This window comes from Homo sapiens, chromosome 12 (genome assembly GCF_000001405.40).
Source record: "Homo sapiens chromosome 12, GRCh38.p14 Primary Assembly".
Taxonomy (NCBI): Eukaryota; Metazoa; Chordata; class Mammalia; order Primates; family Hominidae; genus Homo; species Homo sapiens.
In genome coordinates this window covers 102,455,787-102,472,324 of record NC_000012.12, presented here as the reverse complement: position 1 = coordinate 102,472,324, position 16,538 = coordinate 102,455,787, and the positions used below count along the sequence as shown (strand labels likewise).

The window sequence follows — 16,538 nt, the reverse complement described above, 5'->3', positions numbered from 1 at the left end:
AGCCCAAGTTCCACTACAGCAAGTGAAAGCAACCTTCTAGATTATCTGTTTGTGAACATTATCCCATCATAAATGGAACAGTTCATGTATAATTAATGCAGCTTCCCTAGACATTTTATGAAATGAAAGACCCAATGAAGAGCTAATTACTCATTCTTTCCTATGCATCATAGGGAAGATAGGAGAGCCTATCAGCCAGCCTTGTGTTCTTGCAGTCCTGTGAGAAAAATGGTGGCATAATGGAGATGAAAGCACATTGGGAAGGAGCTAGCGATTTTCTTACTAGATTGATGGAGCCCTTATAAAGGGTGGCTCATTACAACCTCATTTTGCATGAAAAACACCAAGAGAAAAAGAGCTTCAAATGAAATAGGAGAAGTGAAGCTTACCATAGATATAATTTTTGACAGCCATGGTGATTAACCATTTTAACATGCTGCTATGGGCCTGTGGAATTTCTCTCCTTGGAGATTCTTAAAAAATTGACAGACAACCAACCATCTTGGATGGTTTCAATTAAGAGCAACTGAAAGAAAGAGAGTTTCTGGGGTCTTTTTAAGTTTTAAGAGTCTATAAACAGTCCCTTAAATAAACTGTATATGCTTTACCTTGGCGGTCTGGGGAAATGGAGAAGTAAATCAATTAGAAAAGCCAAGTTGGATATTCTTTCAGCTCTTCAGGATTTATAGCTTTTGTAAAACATACTTCCAATGTATAGTTATTAAGAACAGGTCTGAATAAACGAATGGCATTCTTCATGGGTTAAAACAGACTGTTTTGTAAGAGCTTTAAGTGAAACTTTACAATGAACTTTCATTGTTATTGATTGCAACAACCTTCTTAGATCTAGGTTATTATTATTAAGTCAAGCTTCTTTCCTTTGATATATACTGCCCAGAAAACTACTCCCAGACCTGTCGTTCATTAGTTGTAGGAGTTTGGCAGGCATTTAAACTTCCTGGGTCTAAACGTCCTTGTCCATAGAACAAGGGAATTTTATTAAAATAAATGACCTCTTCTAGCTTTAACAGACTCATAGTCTAGGTTGTATTTAACAAAGCTCTGGTGCTATTCAAGAAAGAACAACCTTGGATTTAAGTAGTGACCAAATAACATTTAGTCTCTTTTATCTTATTTACATAGTTTCTGTTGGTCCCCAGAGATAGGAGATTCCACCCAGTTAAAGTAAGAGGAGCCAGATTCTTCGTTTTGTTTTGCTTTAAGCTGGATTTCAACCCCTCGGGGATGGAATAGAAGCTTAGATATGACCAAATACATGCAGGTCTTTTGGACTAAGGAGCCAAAGAAGCACACGCTTCATGAAAACAGACTGTCATTTTTCTTTGTTAGGATAGACCCACTGACAGTTCTCATCTTTACATTCTCTCACTCTCCTGACTGTGAGGTCAAGTGAGTATGTACATTTTTAGATGCCCTTTATTAAATTAGAGGGGACAAATAAGAATCTACAGGTTTCTAAACCTTCACCAAAAGCCTCTTCCCAGCCTATTACCTTTTCAATTAAAGAAGAGAGTGTATAATTGGTGAATTTGACATCACACTCACCCACCATTAGCATTGTTTTGAGTGGGGCTGGATTTGAGTTGCATCATTTTCATTCCTTTTATTGGTACCCCTTAGACTGCCTGCTATGCATCTGTGTGACAGCTGGTCAAAGTTAGGGGTACAGTCACTAGCTGTGGGAAAGCTTTTCTCTTTGAAACTAATTGGTACATGTGGGGTTTGACCTTATGACCCTGGCCTCATTAGTACCACTAAGCTAATAGGCTACAGATATTATTAAAGAGAAGCAATGTGTTTTTATATTGACCCCAAATGCTTGTTCCTGTCTTTAAATAGTAAAGGACCAGTTTCTGCAACCATAGGACCACTAAGAAAATGATGCAAAATTAGAAAATAATTTGCATTTTTTTCTGACATGCTAATGCCCTTCAAGACCATCTCCCTCCTGATGGAGAGTTATAAACAGGAGAGCGAAGGGTTCAAGACCAAGGGCATGGCCTCTATTGCCAAACACTTCAGGTTTGAACCCCAGCTCTGCAACTTACTTGGTGAGTGATCTTGAGCAAGTTATTTAACCTGTTTGTTCCTCAATTTTCTCATCTGTAAAATGGGGCCTGCCTTATAGAGTTGGTGTTAGGATTAAATTAGTTATTATATTGGAATATGTTAACTTAGAATATTGCCTGGCACACAGTAAGCACCACATATGTGAGCTATTACACTTAATTATTCTCTTCTGAGATCAATTGCAGAATCTATTGCCAATGCTGAGGTATATGAACGGCCCAATTAATTACACACTCATTTTCTCTCCTTGGCGGCAGCTGATTAAAAACCTATTATGAGTAGTAAGAATTATGTAGTAGTATTAGTAATAATCACATGAAGAATGTTATGTTTATCTAGTATATTTACTTTTTCAAAATCCAGTTGTATCAGCTCTCTCACTTTGTCTTGACTCCACTTTTGGTGGGCAAAGATTATTGCTTCATGGGACAAATGAGAAATGTGAGACATGAACATTTTGTAACTTACCCCACTGAATGGTTCCAGAAACAAAGCTAGGTTCTCTTGCCTCCAAGAAGTGTGTAGCATAGGGAGATGCTTCCAAAATCCCAGTAGTCTTCTGGGAGATAAGGAGCAAGAATCCCAGGGTGACTAAATTGATTTTGAACACTTTCTTGAAAAGAGGCATGAGAGAGATATCTATGTAATGACCCTATATTTTAGCTTCTGGAAAAATTGAGGAAATTCTAAGAAAACTTCCTCAGGATGCACAAGAAAAGTCTTCTTTTAGAAGAGGCTAATTAGAGGCTGCTGCTGTACAAGACCCTTCACAGACTGAATTCAGACAGAACACTGCAACTCACCTGTATACACCAGGATATGCAGTAGGATCTGGGGAGCTTCTCTTCTGCCCAACTTCAAATCTTCTTCCTCTTCCTGCAAACCTCAAGTGCTTCATTACTTGCAACTATTTGTTTAATTGGTCTTTCTCAAAGACCTACTAAAAAAATGCTGTTTAATTGGACCAAACTTTTTCTTGGGGTGCTATTAGAGTCGTAGTAATGGGAGGTGGTCACAGACACCATAATCCAGGCAGGAAGAAACTTCCCCAAAATAAAGGAGATGTGGGAGCAGCCAGTGGTTGGGATGCAAGACCGCCACCTTTGCTGGTATTACTCAACGAGCTGTTTGAAGACCATTGGTATTGAAATGTATCCTATCTCCAGTGGCTGGTAGGGGAGACATTTTGGATCCAGGAGAGAATTTTGGCATTCTGCTAATTCAATGGGCCTCCAATACTTTGACCAGACATCTTGTGTCGTGCCATCATTGCCCAAGATCTCCATTAGAGCTGACTTCATCTCTTCAGCAGCCTTCCTTCTGGTTTTACAGCCCACACCACAGATTCAGACACAGTGAAAATAGCCACAAGGTCTCTCCCAAGGAGATGTCTCATTGTTCTCGATAACAGCCTGCAAGGGCTTTGCTCTTTTGTGCAGCCAGACATCTTTGACAACCCATGGTGGCAAAAAATCGTTTTCGCATTGAGCTGCCGCCCTGGCAGAGTTCCATCGTACACCTCTCCATGAGACATCCCAAAGAATTACTTTAGGTTGCCTGGAAAGTTCAAACCCCCAGGCCTTATTAGCTGTTAGACTAAGGAGATGACAACACAACATTTTGTTTGTCTTTATCTATACATGAGATCATGTTTAAAACATAGCAAAGAGGTGTTATTTGACAAGCAATTCCCTAACTGCAGTAAGTTGTATGCCTATTTAATGCATTGTTTAGTCTCACATTGGCTAAAGCCACTTAAAGAAGCACTTGGCAAGCTCTAGCTTTTCATTCTTGGCATAGCTGCCCCTCTTACTTTTTCACTGAACCTTAAATACCAAGAAAAACCCTTCACTTACTTTACATCTGGCATATTGCTTTCTGCAACTGGCCAGAACCTTTGCATGTGGCCCTCTGCATTTGTCCTAAGGTAATTAATGGCTTTGCAATATTTGATCATCAGCAGCACAGACACAAAGAGAAATTGTGCAACCAGCAGAGACCAAACAGCCTCTTTTAAATTAAAATCTTTTGCATTAAATGCTCAGGCATTCTGCAGGAATAAAGATTTCCATGCCAAAAAAAAGAGGGGTCAAAAAGAGGGGAGGAAATACCCAAGAACCTGATTATTGATTAAGTATACATCTCTGTAATCTCTCCCTCTTAAAACTACCCGATTGTTCAAAGAAAATAAAATTGAAGATTGCTACAAACTTAGAAGTCCTTGAAAAATAAACTTGTCAATATTATGCAATCTAGTCATGTATCAAAACTGCACTTTTACCCCATACATTCATGTACATGAAAATGATAATAATAAGAATTAGCCAAATGCTGACTGAAATCCAGAGAGAAGTGACATGTGCAAAGTCACACAGCTAATTAGTGACAAAGGGAGAAGATACTGTGATTCTCTTTTCTCATCCCACTGCAGTATTCCTCCATTTAGCAACAATTAGCCATGTCTGTGTCAAAGTTACCTGGTAAATTAAAATGACCAAGAGAAGCCACCAATCAAATTCATCCAAATGAGCATAGATCTTGTTGGTTCCTTCCTTTCAATAAATTCACCTGAGACTTAGGTTAACACTTTTGCTCCCTCGCTGTGGAAATTTGTACAAACTAAAGTGATTCCCTGCCTGTCTCCTATATGGTGTGCAAAGCCTTCACATGTACTTTGGGCATTCCGTCCACTTAAGGTCATAATTTGACTATTATTGTATATTATACTATTCTGACTCTATGGTCACTCTCTCCAATGTCAACTTTGGTAGAAATGCTTTGGAATGACTTAGCAAAGCTGCGCTCCTGGAAAATCTGAAACAGTCTGACGAGTTGTTGGATCAGCTTTTTTTTTCTGGAGATTTCTCTGACTGTCCCAAACCAAAAGAAATTTACACCTGATTTTTTTGCAGACTCCCAAGCAAATACTCTATGAATCTCTTCTGGTTTTCTTCTTTCATCTCTGGTCTTTATGAGGTACTAAAAGGCTCTTTGAGGGACCCTTTTAAACTTTGAAAATTTGTCAGACATAGAAGCAATCCGGAGAGTATTGCTGGGAAGATGGTACTACCTCTGTGCCATTTACCCTGATGAAATGGGTCTTTCATCAGAGGCAAGTGATTTAGAAAGTCTGCACTGAGCCAACCCACATGCAGCCAACTCCTGATTACCTGTAAAACTGGGGAAAGGAGCACCAAGACTTAGAATTCTGGATTAAATGGATTTAAGGACACTATAGATTTTTCTTCTCCCTCCTTGCTGAACCTATCCCCAACCTCTTTATGAGACCAAGTGATGTGGGTTTTTTCATTTTGGTTTTTGTTTTTTTGAGACAGGGTCTCAGTCCATTGCTCAGGCTAGAGTGCAGTGGTGTGAACAAAGCTCACTGCAGCCTCAACCTCCCAGGCTCAAGTGATCCTCCTACCACCTCAGCCTCCCCAGTAGCTGGGACCATAGGCGCATGCCACCACAGCTGGCTAACTTTTGTATTTTTTTGTAGAGATGGGGTTTTACCATGTTGCCCATGCTGGTCTCAAATTCCTGGGCTCAAGTGATCTGCCCGCCTCAGTCTCCCAAAGTGCTGGATTTACAGTCATGAGCCACTATGCCCAGACTGTTTTAAAATCTTACCTTATTCTCATACTCCTCAGTCAACTTTCCCCAAGCGCCATTGGCAACAGAGTTTTTCAGCCTCAACACTATTGACATTTTGGGTCAGACTATTTTTTGCTGGGAGAGGGAGCTGCCCTGTGCATTATACGATAACTAGTAACATACTTGGCCTCTATCCACTAGGTGCCAGCAGTCCCTTCCTCCCAGTCACGACCATCAAGAATGTTTGCAGACATTGCCAAATGTACCCCTGGGGGCAAAATCACCCCCGAGTCGAGATTCCTAGACTAGACAAGTCTCCAGAAGAGAGGCAATTAGAGAGATTGGAAAACCATGAGTGAAAGTAACACATCAATTCTCAGTCACTGTTTAATCCAGAGCCTATGGTCCATTGCCTGGAGCAAGCCATGAGAAGAGTCATTGTGGTTTTGAAAGCTTTTCTCTGAAAAATAAAAGTTCTTCCTATAGGCTATTTAAAACCTTTTGCAGGCCTTTTCTTTCTTGCCTTATAGCCATGGAATTCATGTATTTTAGTAAGAGAAGGAAGGGCAGGCAGAAATGGTTCAGAGTAGAACCCTGTGCTTAGAAGTTTGATTGAGACCACCTGGAGCAAATTAAAAAGAAGTTGGTTATCTTTATTTATTTATTTATTTATTTATTTATTTATTTATTTATTTATTTATTTGAAACAGAGTCTTGCTCTGTTGCCCAGGCTGGAGTACAGTGGTGCAATCTCGGCTCACTGCAACCTCTGTCTCCTAGGTTCAAGCAATTCTCCCGCCTCAGCCTCCCGAGTAGCTGGGATGACAGGCATGCACCACCTTGCCCGGCTAATGTTTGTATTTTTAGTAGAGACGGGGTTTCACCATGTTGGCCTGGTTGGTCTCGAACTCCTGACCTCAGGTGATCCGCCTGCCTTGGACTCACAAAGTGCTGGGATTACAGGCGTGAGCCACCGCACCCAGCCAGTTGTCTTTGACCTTAACATATGTGGCTGTTCCCTTGTCAGGCACATAATAAATAAACTCAATTCCTCACAAGTGAAAAAGCCTGGTTCAAAGGTAATGACCAAATTTTTCTCCTTTTTTCTTGTGCCTTTCCTATCTGAGTCCTATCACAGTCATTCAATTGCTCAGAAACAGTCAGAAGTTCCCCATTTGGGCCTGACCCAGCTCCCCTACTGAACAGTTCTATGACCTTGGAGAAGTCACTTAACGTCCTTGAGCCTTACATAGCTTATCGTAAAATGGGAATAAAAATACACTTCTGAGTTGTTCTGAGGCTCAGCTGTAGAAGTGCTTTGGAAACGAAGGGCCATCCAAATAGTCACAACTGATGAACTGAATTGGATGCTTTTTGCCTTGTATCCCAAATCATGGCTCACAAATTAGATCAATGCCATGATTTCTGTAAAACCTTAGGCAACAATTATAATCTGGAAAAGTTAATTTGGCAGTGTATCTTCTCAACCTCATTAATTAAAAAAGAAAAGCATGTTGCTGCCTCCTGTTCACATATCACTTTACATTGAGACCACCCAAGAGTTAATTAATGTATCTTCAGAATGCTCACTCAGTATCACTATTTCCTCTCATTGGAAGAAGCAGCAAAGAGATGGGGCCTATCATTTTACCACACTGAGCTTGCTTAAAGACTTTGTTCCCCACGAGGTGATTGGGTAGTCACTGAGAGATATCACATATAGGCAAAAGATTTCTATTCTCTCAAGTCAGCTATTGGTGATTTCTGCTTAGCCTCAAAAAGCAGCATTCAGCAGAGGAAATGTACTCACTAATCAGAAAAAGTATCTTCGCACTCTCAAGTTGTACATCCAAACTGTTTTCTTATCACAGCCTGACTTAGGGGAATTAAATTTTTTTGTTTGAGAATGGCTTTGATGAAATCAAAATTGTGAGTTTTATCACCATATGGACCAGTGACCCTGTGGTTCTTCTATCCCAGGGGCCTCACATCCCATGGCTCCCAGAGACACAACATTTGATGCAGTTGTAACACTTTTGAACCACACAATCAAATACTGGCTACTGCTACTGCTGCTACTGTAAATTTTCATTCTCTCTATTTTATCTTGAGCTTTTTCAGAAGAACACAGACTAAGTTTTAAGGGTTTTCCCCCCTCCTGTTTTTCACAGCATCTAGTATGGAGCACTTAATAAAATTTCTTGATTTGATATTGAAAATGTCATTCCAAAAGCTATTTCCTTCTTCCAGTCCCCAGAATATATACCATGACTTACAATTTGCTACTGACATCATTTTGGATCTGAGATTGAAGATATAGGAGAAAAAAGTCAACAAGTCTACTTGAGATGTCACCTCTTAGGACCCCTTCACCACTGCTCCACTGAAAATGCCTAGCTCAAGATTAAGCTAACTCTAGTCAACAGGTAATTTTCAAAGGCTACTGGACCCTCACCAATAAGGTCTACTTATGAAAGTGAGAACAGAACCTCCACTCAGTTCCTCTCTACTTCTATGTGAGTTATTTAAAAGGAGTAGTGTTGGGCAAGGGAAGGTATGCAACAACTGGTACATCCCTGGCTAAGGTATGAATCACAGCTGGAGCACCAGCCCTTAGAGAACACTACAAGTGGTTTCTATTTGCCAATGCAGAATTGAAAAATTAGAGAGCTAGAAAGAACCATATAGAGCAATCTGATCCAGTGCTCTCACTTCCCAGATGAAAGGACCAAGGTCCAGAAAAAACATGATGTGCATGAGGTCACAAAAGTTGGTCGGAAAAGCTGGAGCTACTGGTCGGAAAGCCAAGGCTACATTTCAGTCACCTCATGCTTGGTCCAGAGCTCTTTGCACAGCTGGACCCTTTAAACTTAACCTCAATAAACTCATATGAGGGTAGTGCTCATAACCACAGTCCATACACTCAAAGTGAACTGCTATGTCATATTCTTCTGGTGTAACACCTCAGAATAGTTTCTAGAAAATTAAGCTCTTAGCCATTCATGAAATCTTCATTTACTAATTTCTACCATCCATCGGATAACATCATGAAGTCTCTTTATCCCAAATCTGATCGACCTGACTGTAGGACTGTGTACCTTAATAAACCCTAGTAGTTTGAGGGATTGGAGGCTTACAAAAGAAATAAAGGAAAAAGCTGATTTTAATTTGAAGTCAAGCCAGCATGTTGCATTGCTCTCTAACTCAGAAGTGACCCCAAACAAAAGGAATTATCGATGTGTTGTCTGTCTTCACACATTCCTAACTTGCTAGTCTTCCACGAAGATCTTCCATGAAGAAGCTTAAATTTTCCTACGTAGTTTGAGTTTTATGTTTCTTTCCATTAAAGTTTCCAGCCGTTCATAGACATATTTAGTTTGGCAGAAGGTAGTGGTGACTCACGGAATGAAGAAATTTGAAGGCAAAGCTACTGAAAATGGATCTAATTTCTTTTTGGGGTAATTTGGGAGCGAGCAATTGATAATTTGTCTAATTTTCCTGGTTTCATCAGCTGCCACACTGCCAAATATATGTTCCATATGGATGCTTTGTTATTCCTGAAACATATAACAAATTTCAGCTGCGACTTTATCTAATATGGTCAAAGGGTAAGACTATTGTTGGCTCATTTTCTCATTGTTTTTGGCTGGACACCCTCAATCAATGGCTATTGAGTGAAAAAACAGGATCATATTGAAACCATTTTCAGCATGTTGCTTCCTATGGATCCAACCATTTCACTGTGAGTTTGTCAAGCACAGCAAATGTTCTCTATTAAAGGGATGACTGTGTTCTCAACATGGATGCGACTGCCAGTTAATTGCATTCACCTTATAATTCCAGTCTCTCAATTTGGTGTAGAGATGGTTTTGGCTCTCCAAAGATTCCTTCTTTTCTGCTGATTCTTACCTCCTAGTATGGAACAGATATTTGAGGATGAATTTTGAGAAGATCAATGACACACATACAATAAGCATCATTTCAGGCTTCCCTTAAGTTAGACAGTCTGTGGGCCCTGAGTCATATGAATCATAAGACTTGTGAAAGGTATTAGTGCCACAAATCTGGCTGGCATTTCTGTAGATTATCGGTGCTTTGCATGCAATTATGAAAATCTCTCTTACCAGATAAGTCAGATGGGGGTTCAGTAACATTGCACAAAAGCATCATGATGTGTAAGCTAAAGACAAAGAAAGGCTTACTTCTGGCTGGTTCTGAAGTAGACACTGGCCACTTAGTGTTTTAAAGTCATTCAGTGGATGATTGGTTTCAATGAATATAAATGATTTTGATCTCCCTCCCCAACACACATATCAAAAACAACAGTAATAATAAAGAACAGAAAAGTCTATCTCTTAGAAAAACCAGATTTGAAAACTGGCTAGGGAAAGTGTTTTGTGGCAAGAAACAATCTCTTGTATCTCTTGTTTACAACGGGCTAATTGGTTTGATTAACAAATTGTCTAAGGGGAATGTATCAATGTTGCTTAGGAAAAACAAAGCTTAGTGTGTGAAAATACACATAGACATAGAGTCTTGCTACTCAAAGAAACCTGAGGGCTTTTTAGAAATGCAGAGTCAGGGGCCCTGACCCCAAACCAATTAAATCAAAATCTGCATTTTAACCCGATACCCACAGGATTTGGATGCGTGTTAAGGTTTGAGAAGCCCCATCTAGAGAATGGCAGGAAGTAAGAGGTACTTGCTAATTCGTGGCTCACATTTGATAAGACAGAGTACAAAAAGATCAACTGTCACTGCAGATTTCAAAAATGATGTTAAGGTCAAACCTGCTTGTGGCCATTAACAATATATATGCTGATTCACTGGTATTTGGTCCAGATTCCCTCAAGTTGGTGGAACCTTTCCTCAGAGGAATGATAGAACTGCTCCAAGGATAACCCCATGGCCTGACCTTCTGTGAACTGGAAATTGGAACTTCTAATTGCTGTAGCTGCAATTTCCAAGCCCATCACTGGGGCCAGGAACTGAGCCCCAGTCCTTAAGATCTTGCCAGTTTCTTTTTCAATAGTTACATTTTTCAAGAACAGCCAAGCAAGAGTGCTTCAAAAAAAGAAAAAAATCTAATTGCATTAAGTGGACGAATGTGTGTTTTACTCATATCAAATTTCATCTTTTGTTATGCTCAGCCAGATTCTAATATTATTTCTTATGGGTCTGAGTTAATTAGTTCTATGAGGGTTCCCACTGGGATTTTAGAGAAATGGTTTTAAGGTAAGAAAAGTCTATTTTGGTCACCTATCAGAAGGTGAAGGGTAAACTTTAAAACTGCTTTTCAAAGAGATACAGCTGGCTTCGGGTCTTTACGAGGGTCATTCTGAAACTCAAGTTCCCCAGCCTGAGCCCATTAATGAAGGTCATTAATGAAGGCCTTGATATCTGAAGGGTGTGCTTCTTCAAAGGGACATTGTCCCACAGCAGGGCAGGTAAAGTGAGAGAGGACCAGTTTTTAACTTGTATTTCTTGAAATGACAATAAAAAGAAAGGGGGGCCTTTGGATTGGAGACTTAGAAAATCTTGGATTTACTCAGAACTCTACCACTAAATAACTTGGTAGATTTGATTATTAATCCCCTGGGTCTCAAAACCTGTTGCCATTGAAACAATGATACGTAAATGAACCAAGACATTCCACCTTTGAAATGTGATAATTGTGATCTCTCTTCCCAGTTTGGCAGGGAAAAAAAGTCACTAATATAGTTTTCACATTGTTTTCACACATCTTTTACTTGAACTTTAAGAACATGCCACTTCTTGTCTATATTCTTGACAAGGATAAGATAGTATTGGACTTAGACCAAAACTATATATTTGATTTGTTTAGATTTAATGCATATTATTTTAATACAGTGATATCCCTGACTCATTGGCACTCTACCCATTGAATTAATGTTGACAAGATAATCTCTAATACCTTTTCCAGAATGTTTACTGCTGTTCATGAAAATCTCTAAAATCCCTTAAGAAATCTGACGGATATGGAGATTATTGTTTGTTTCTTTGTTAGTATTCTCTCATTCCTTTTGCTGGGTGCTTTAGTAAAATGTATGGAAGTAAAATTATAGCTCTGCCCAATTTAATTGTAGAATCATCAGCTGGGCACCTGCTCTGTGTTTAGCAATACCCAAGGGAGAATGATGCCATCCCTTCAAAGAGGTTTCTTTGTGGGGGGACCCATGAAATTCCAATCATACAACTGCAGGCTTGAGTCAGATGGGAATAGTTCTCCCCTATGGTATCCCAGTCCACACCATCTATTGAGTGTCTTCTGGTTAGCCAAAACTAATGATGAAAGAAATGAGTAAAGCACAGCTCTATGCACATGGAATTGATATTCTAGAGCAATGTCACAAAACGTTTCCACTCCCACCCCACCTGCATCTAGTCCACAGACATGTTTTGTTTGGTCCACCCAATATGTATTTGTTTTAATTTTGGAAATATAAAAATCAAGAGATTATAAGCAAAAACAAAAGATTAACAACTTCTCTTATGAAAAAAATGGTGCAATCCAGCATGGCTGAGCCTGCATTCTTGAGTGGCAGTTTTTGGTCACCCTTTTATGTGAAGTGTGTGCCCTTGCAGGCTTAATTTATTCATTATATACCTATCTGGCTCAGCATACATTGACCTATGCCACTCCTGCTCCAAATATGCAAGATCTCGTTGGATATTAACTATACGCTTGTCTATTTTATTACGTTCAAGACATATCTATTGCCTTTGTTCTATCACATAGTTACCAGACTAACTGCTGCTGGTTTATATAAATAAGACACAAACCTCATCTTTATAGAACTGTATAGCCCTCCCCAAACAGAGCAAGGGTACAGCTGAGCTAGAATTTAAAAGACAATCAAGTCATTCTGGTGAAGGAAGAAGGCAGATTTTAAAAACTGAACATTCAAAAATTTAGACATCATCAAAGGGATATTTCCTCAAGAGCAAGTGGAGTTTTTAGCCGGTGACCTTGTAAAGCAGGAAAGGCCAGGTTCCCAGCCAATGCAATGGATGGGTTGCACAATCACCCTAAGTGTTGAGCACAGTGGAGACCATCAACCCAACTCTTCAGACAAAACAAGCTGTAGCCTTACAGTTTGTTTTGCACCGAGATCCATAACAGCTGTTACCTATTTACTGGAAGATCCTTCCAGTCCCATCACTATTTAGATCCTCCTCATCGCCCACCAAAACTATTGCAACAGCCTCCTCCATGATCGTGCTATGTGCAAGACTGCTTGAGGCCAGCCGTCCCACCCATGAGATTAATCTTTCCAAAGCAATTCTTATCACTTTATCCCTTTTCTAAACAACATCCAGGGACCATTCATGGCTATGTAAATTGAGTGAGTCCAAACTCCCCAATTTGACAGTAAGGCATTTTACGTAAGGTCTCTATCTGACTTTCTTAATGTATCCCTACAGCAGAGCTCACAAACTGGCAATCTGTAAGTTGTATCCAGTCCTCATAAGTGTTTTTGTGTAGTGAATACAGTGTTTTTACTAAAATTTGAATTATCTGTCAGTATTTACTAAATGACTCTCCACTTCATATTGGCACATGCTTTCTGCTTTACCAAAAACCCCCCACCACTCTCTATTGCCTTGCTCTGGTCTACTTCACTTGCCTGCATGACTTGCTGTAGTCATTGAGACATTGACTTGATTGACTCACCAAGTTTACAAATGACCCCCTACATATTCCAACATCCGACCTATGTGACTTATTACCACCTATTTTATTTTCCTGGACTTTCCTCTCTTCTTCTCTCAAATGTCACCTCCTCTGTAAAATCTTCTACCAGATGTCAACCCTCTTTCCTCTGAGAGAGAGAAGCAATAATATTACTCTTACAGCACTTTGTTTTTGGTTTTTTTTTTTTTTTTTGGTCAGTGTTCCTACCATCTGCTTAACTATAAGCTCTGCAAAGGTGAGGGCTATGTTTTATTAATCTCTGTAAGTTCCCACTTACTCCCTCATACACTGCACTATCCATGTCTGCATGGAATTAATTGTTATTCGTTTTTATGTGGCCTTACAGGCCTAGATTAGTTATGTGTGCCTTTAGGAAGGCAGTAACTCATTTGAAATGTAGACATGGCTGAGTCGGAAGGCCTCCATGGACTTTTCGGTATTTTCAAGTACAGAGTGAGAAGTGCTGTATCTAAAGGAAACTACTAAGGGAATTTAGGTAAACAGAACATGATCCTTTTTGTTGGAAGCTGGCTGTGATCTCCAGATTAAAACACTATTGCATGCCTCATGAGGAGCATCAGCAAATCCTTTAGTATGCACAACTTGTGTTAGAATTGCAGGAGTCAGTCTATTCCTGGGGGCTGGGCTGAGATAATGAATTGAGTCAATGCCAGGTAGAGCACAAATACGCTAGAAAAAATGAAACAGAAAGAACTCCGTATGCTGCATTCAAAAGTGTCAATTTCTAAAGTTTCTGAATAACTAGAAAGGGGCTCGCATTCCTGTTTGCCCTGCAGAAGGATTGTCAACAAGTTACAAGATTATAGAATCAAATCTCAGGCACCAGAAATGGATCCAACTTAGTGAATTTTGACTGGAATGACCAGTTGCAAAATATTGACCAAGAAGAAGAAAGTCATTATTTTTCAATGTCATTAAATTCAGCAATGTTTTATGGATAACTGTGTACCTAGAATTGTGCTAGAAACCAAGGGGAAGCTGAAACGAAAAAGCCAGAGCAGAAAACTAACGTTCATGAACACCCATCATGCTCCCAAAAAGTAACATACAAATCTGCCTTAAGGTTACCTTCAATCTGGTTAAGAAAACAATTCTTACCCATATGTCAGAATAATCATCATAAACCTATAGAATTAAAGTAAGTAATAATGTATAAAAATAACATTTTTTTCTCTTATTCTTCCTGGATATGGCAGATCTCAAAATATGTTTACTGAATTTCCAAAAGAATACAAAAAATTTTCATCCTTCTCTCTATATATACAGTCTTGTGAAATCGTCCACTAAAGTTTAAAAGTAGGTGGAATTTACACCTTCATGTACTCTCTGTCTGCCTGGGTCCTTGGCTAGGTAGAGGCATGGTTGTGTTCTATAGACTGAGAGAGGCCAGAAATACTGGGCAAACAAGCCGCTTTGACTTTGAGTTGATGAAAAGCTTAGGAAAAAATCCCTCCTTTTGTAGAGCTGCCAGGCCAGTCTTTCCAACTCAAGTTCAATGATGCGTCAAAATTCTACCTGGAGTCATGAGGTTCCCCTCCCATCTTATCCTCTGTATCCCCCGGTCCAGATAGGATTTGATGCAGATAACATGGGCACTGTTGGTTGCTTTTCTTTTAGCATGAGGATTCCTCAAAACAGAGTTTTGTTAATAAATTAAGCAGAATTTGAGTGAATTTAAGCAGAGTTTGAGAATTTAAGTGAATGTCTGGGTATATTTGAATAATATTTATTTTGCTATCAGCATGACAACATTGGATATCAAAAAGAGTTCTGAATATGAGGTGAGGAGACCTGGACACCCTGAAAAGCCTTGAATTCGCTGGTTGGCTGGGTTCTGTCAGGCAATTCTCTCCCTTGTCAAATGGGTACAGTCAGCCCTGCCTGCCTACCCAAAGCAGTTTTTTTAGTACCAGGAGAGATAATACCTGTGGAATTGCCACAAAATTCTTAGAAAATCAGGACCCGCTACCAGTTTCCAGAGGTAATTTGAGTGAAGTGTTGTTAGAATTGAGGGAGGGCTAGGCTAGAGTACATCCTGAAGTTGAAAGTGGGTTAGCCAAGATGCATTCATGCCCCTTCCTTTGGAACGTGGGGACTGTCATTCCTTTTTGGGTCATGTATGATTTCTGTGGACTGGAATTACAAGGGCAAATGTAGGAATTGCTGTAATATTGGTCAGTACTTTTCACATTCCGCCATCCCATGAGTAGGGATAAGAGGTTAATTAAATACATCTCTCGGGCAGCAGAAATGATCAAGGCTGTCCCTGGAACACAGTTGCTTCAAAAAGTAGGCTTTTGTTTCAGGGAAGATCTCCCACAGAGAAGCATGGAACGCCAAAGAGAACTATAAATAGGACTATCATTTATGTCAATTATAAATAGATTTGTTCCCTTTTGATTAGAAGATTAATGCTAGCTGAAACTCTGTAGTTGAGCAGAAATGAGGGAAAAACTTCTGACAAAATATTATTACATGCTAACAGTTAGATTTGATACCTTTTCCTCCCTGAAGTATTTTCTCTGATTTTCCCTAAATGAAGACTTTCTTCTCGTTTGAATTTATGTCCAGTTTAGTCTTTGAAGTGCGTTTGTTCATACTTCTTAGCTCCTCAGGATCTCTAGATTAGACAATACACACACACACACACACACACACACACACACACACACACACACACCTTTTTTAAATGGAAAAAATTGAATAAGTTGAATGTCCGTGTTAGGAATTTAAAAGGGGGCAAAACTTTCTCCTCAGATGCTCCTAAGATGGCCACTACGCCCTCCTCCAAAATTCTGCTTTCTGTGAGGGAGATGTTTTACCAAATTACCATGTACATATGGTTCCTTAGCAACCCATATTAACACTGAGCATAATGACCAAAGAGATAAAGGAAAAGATCAGTAGAGGAAGGGCCATAAGCCATCGCTGCTGAGCACCTGCCTGATATGGAGCCATATTTTTTCATTCTCCAGGAAGCGATATCCAATGGGATCCCAACTCTTTACATATGGTTAACCAACTTCTTGTCCTTGATTGTGTTCATGACTTGTCTCTTCCCAGGGCCAGAGAGAGAAATGGCAACTTCCCATCCAAGCTGACTGCCAGGTTCAAC

The 16,538-nt window shown here is 39.7% G+C and overlaps 1 protein-coding gene and 1 long non-coding RNA gene across 11 annotated transcripts in view, besides 1 other annotated feature; one reads left to right on the top strand and one right to left on the bottom strand.

Annotated features, from left to right (window-relative positions):
* LINC02456 (long intergenic non-protein coding RNA 2456) overlaps positions 1 to 16,538 on the bottom strand; it is a 432,422-nt gene that overhangs the window by 239,671 nt on the left and 176,213 nt on the right. Inside the window, exon 11 of the long non-coding RNA XR_007063427.1 lies at positions 1 to 16,538. This exon is cut by the window's left edge and continues 11,564 nt beyond it. This is a non-coding gene — a long non-coding RNA (long intergenic non-protein coding RNA 2456).
* Positions 1 to 16,538, top strand: part of IGF1 (insulin like growth factor 1) — an 85,966-nt gene that overhangs the window by 9,515 nt on the left and 59,913 nt on the right. The gene's annotated exons all lie outside the window — the stretch shown is intronic.
* Positions 5,959 to 6,128: an enhancer, noted in NCBI's record as "experimental_23075/23079 CRE fragment used in MPRA reporter constructs". NCBI's record gives its function as "activates a minimal promoter by MPRAs in K562 erythroleukemia cells, with activity observed for both the introgressed and non-introgressed 12:102860060 variant alleles {active_cell/tissue: K562}" and the evidence as "EXISTENCE:reporter gene assay evidence [ECO:0000049][PMID:34662402]".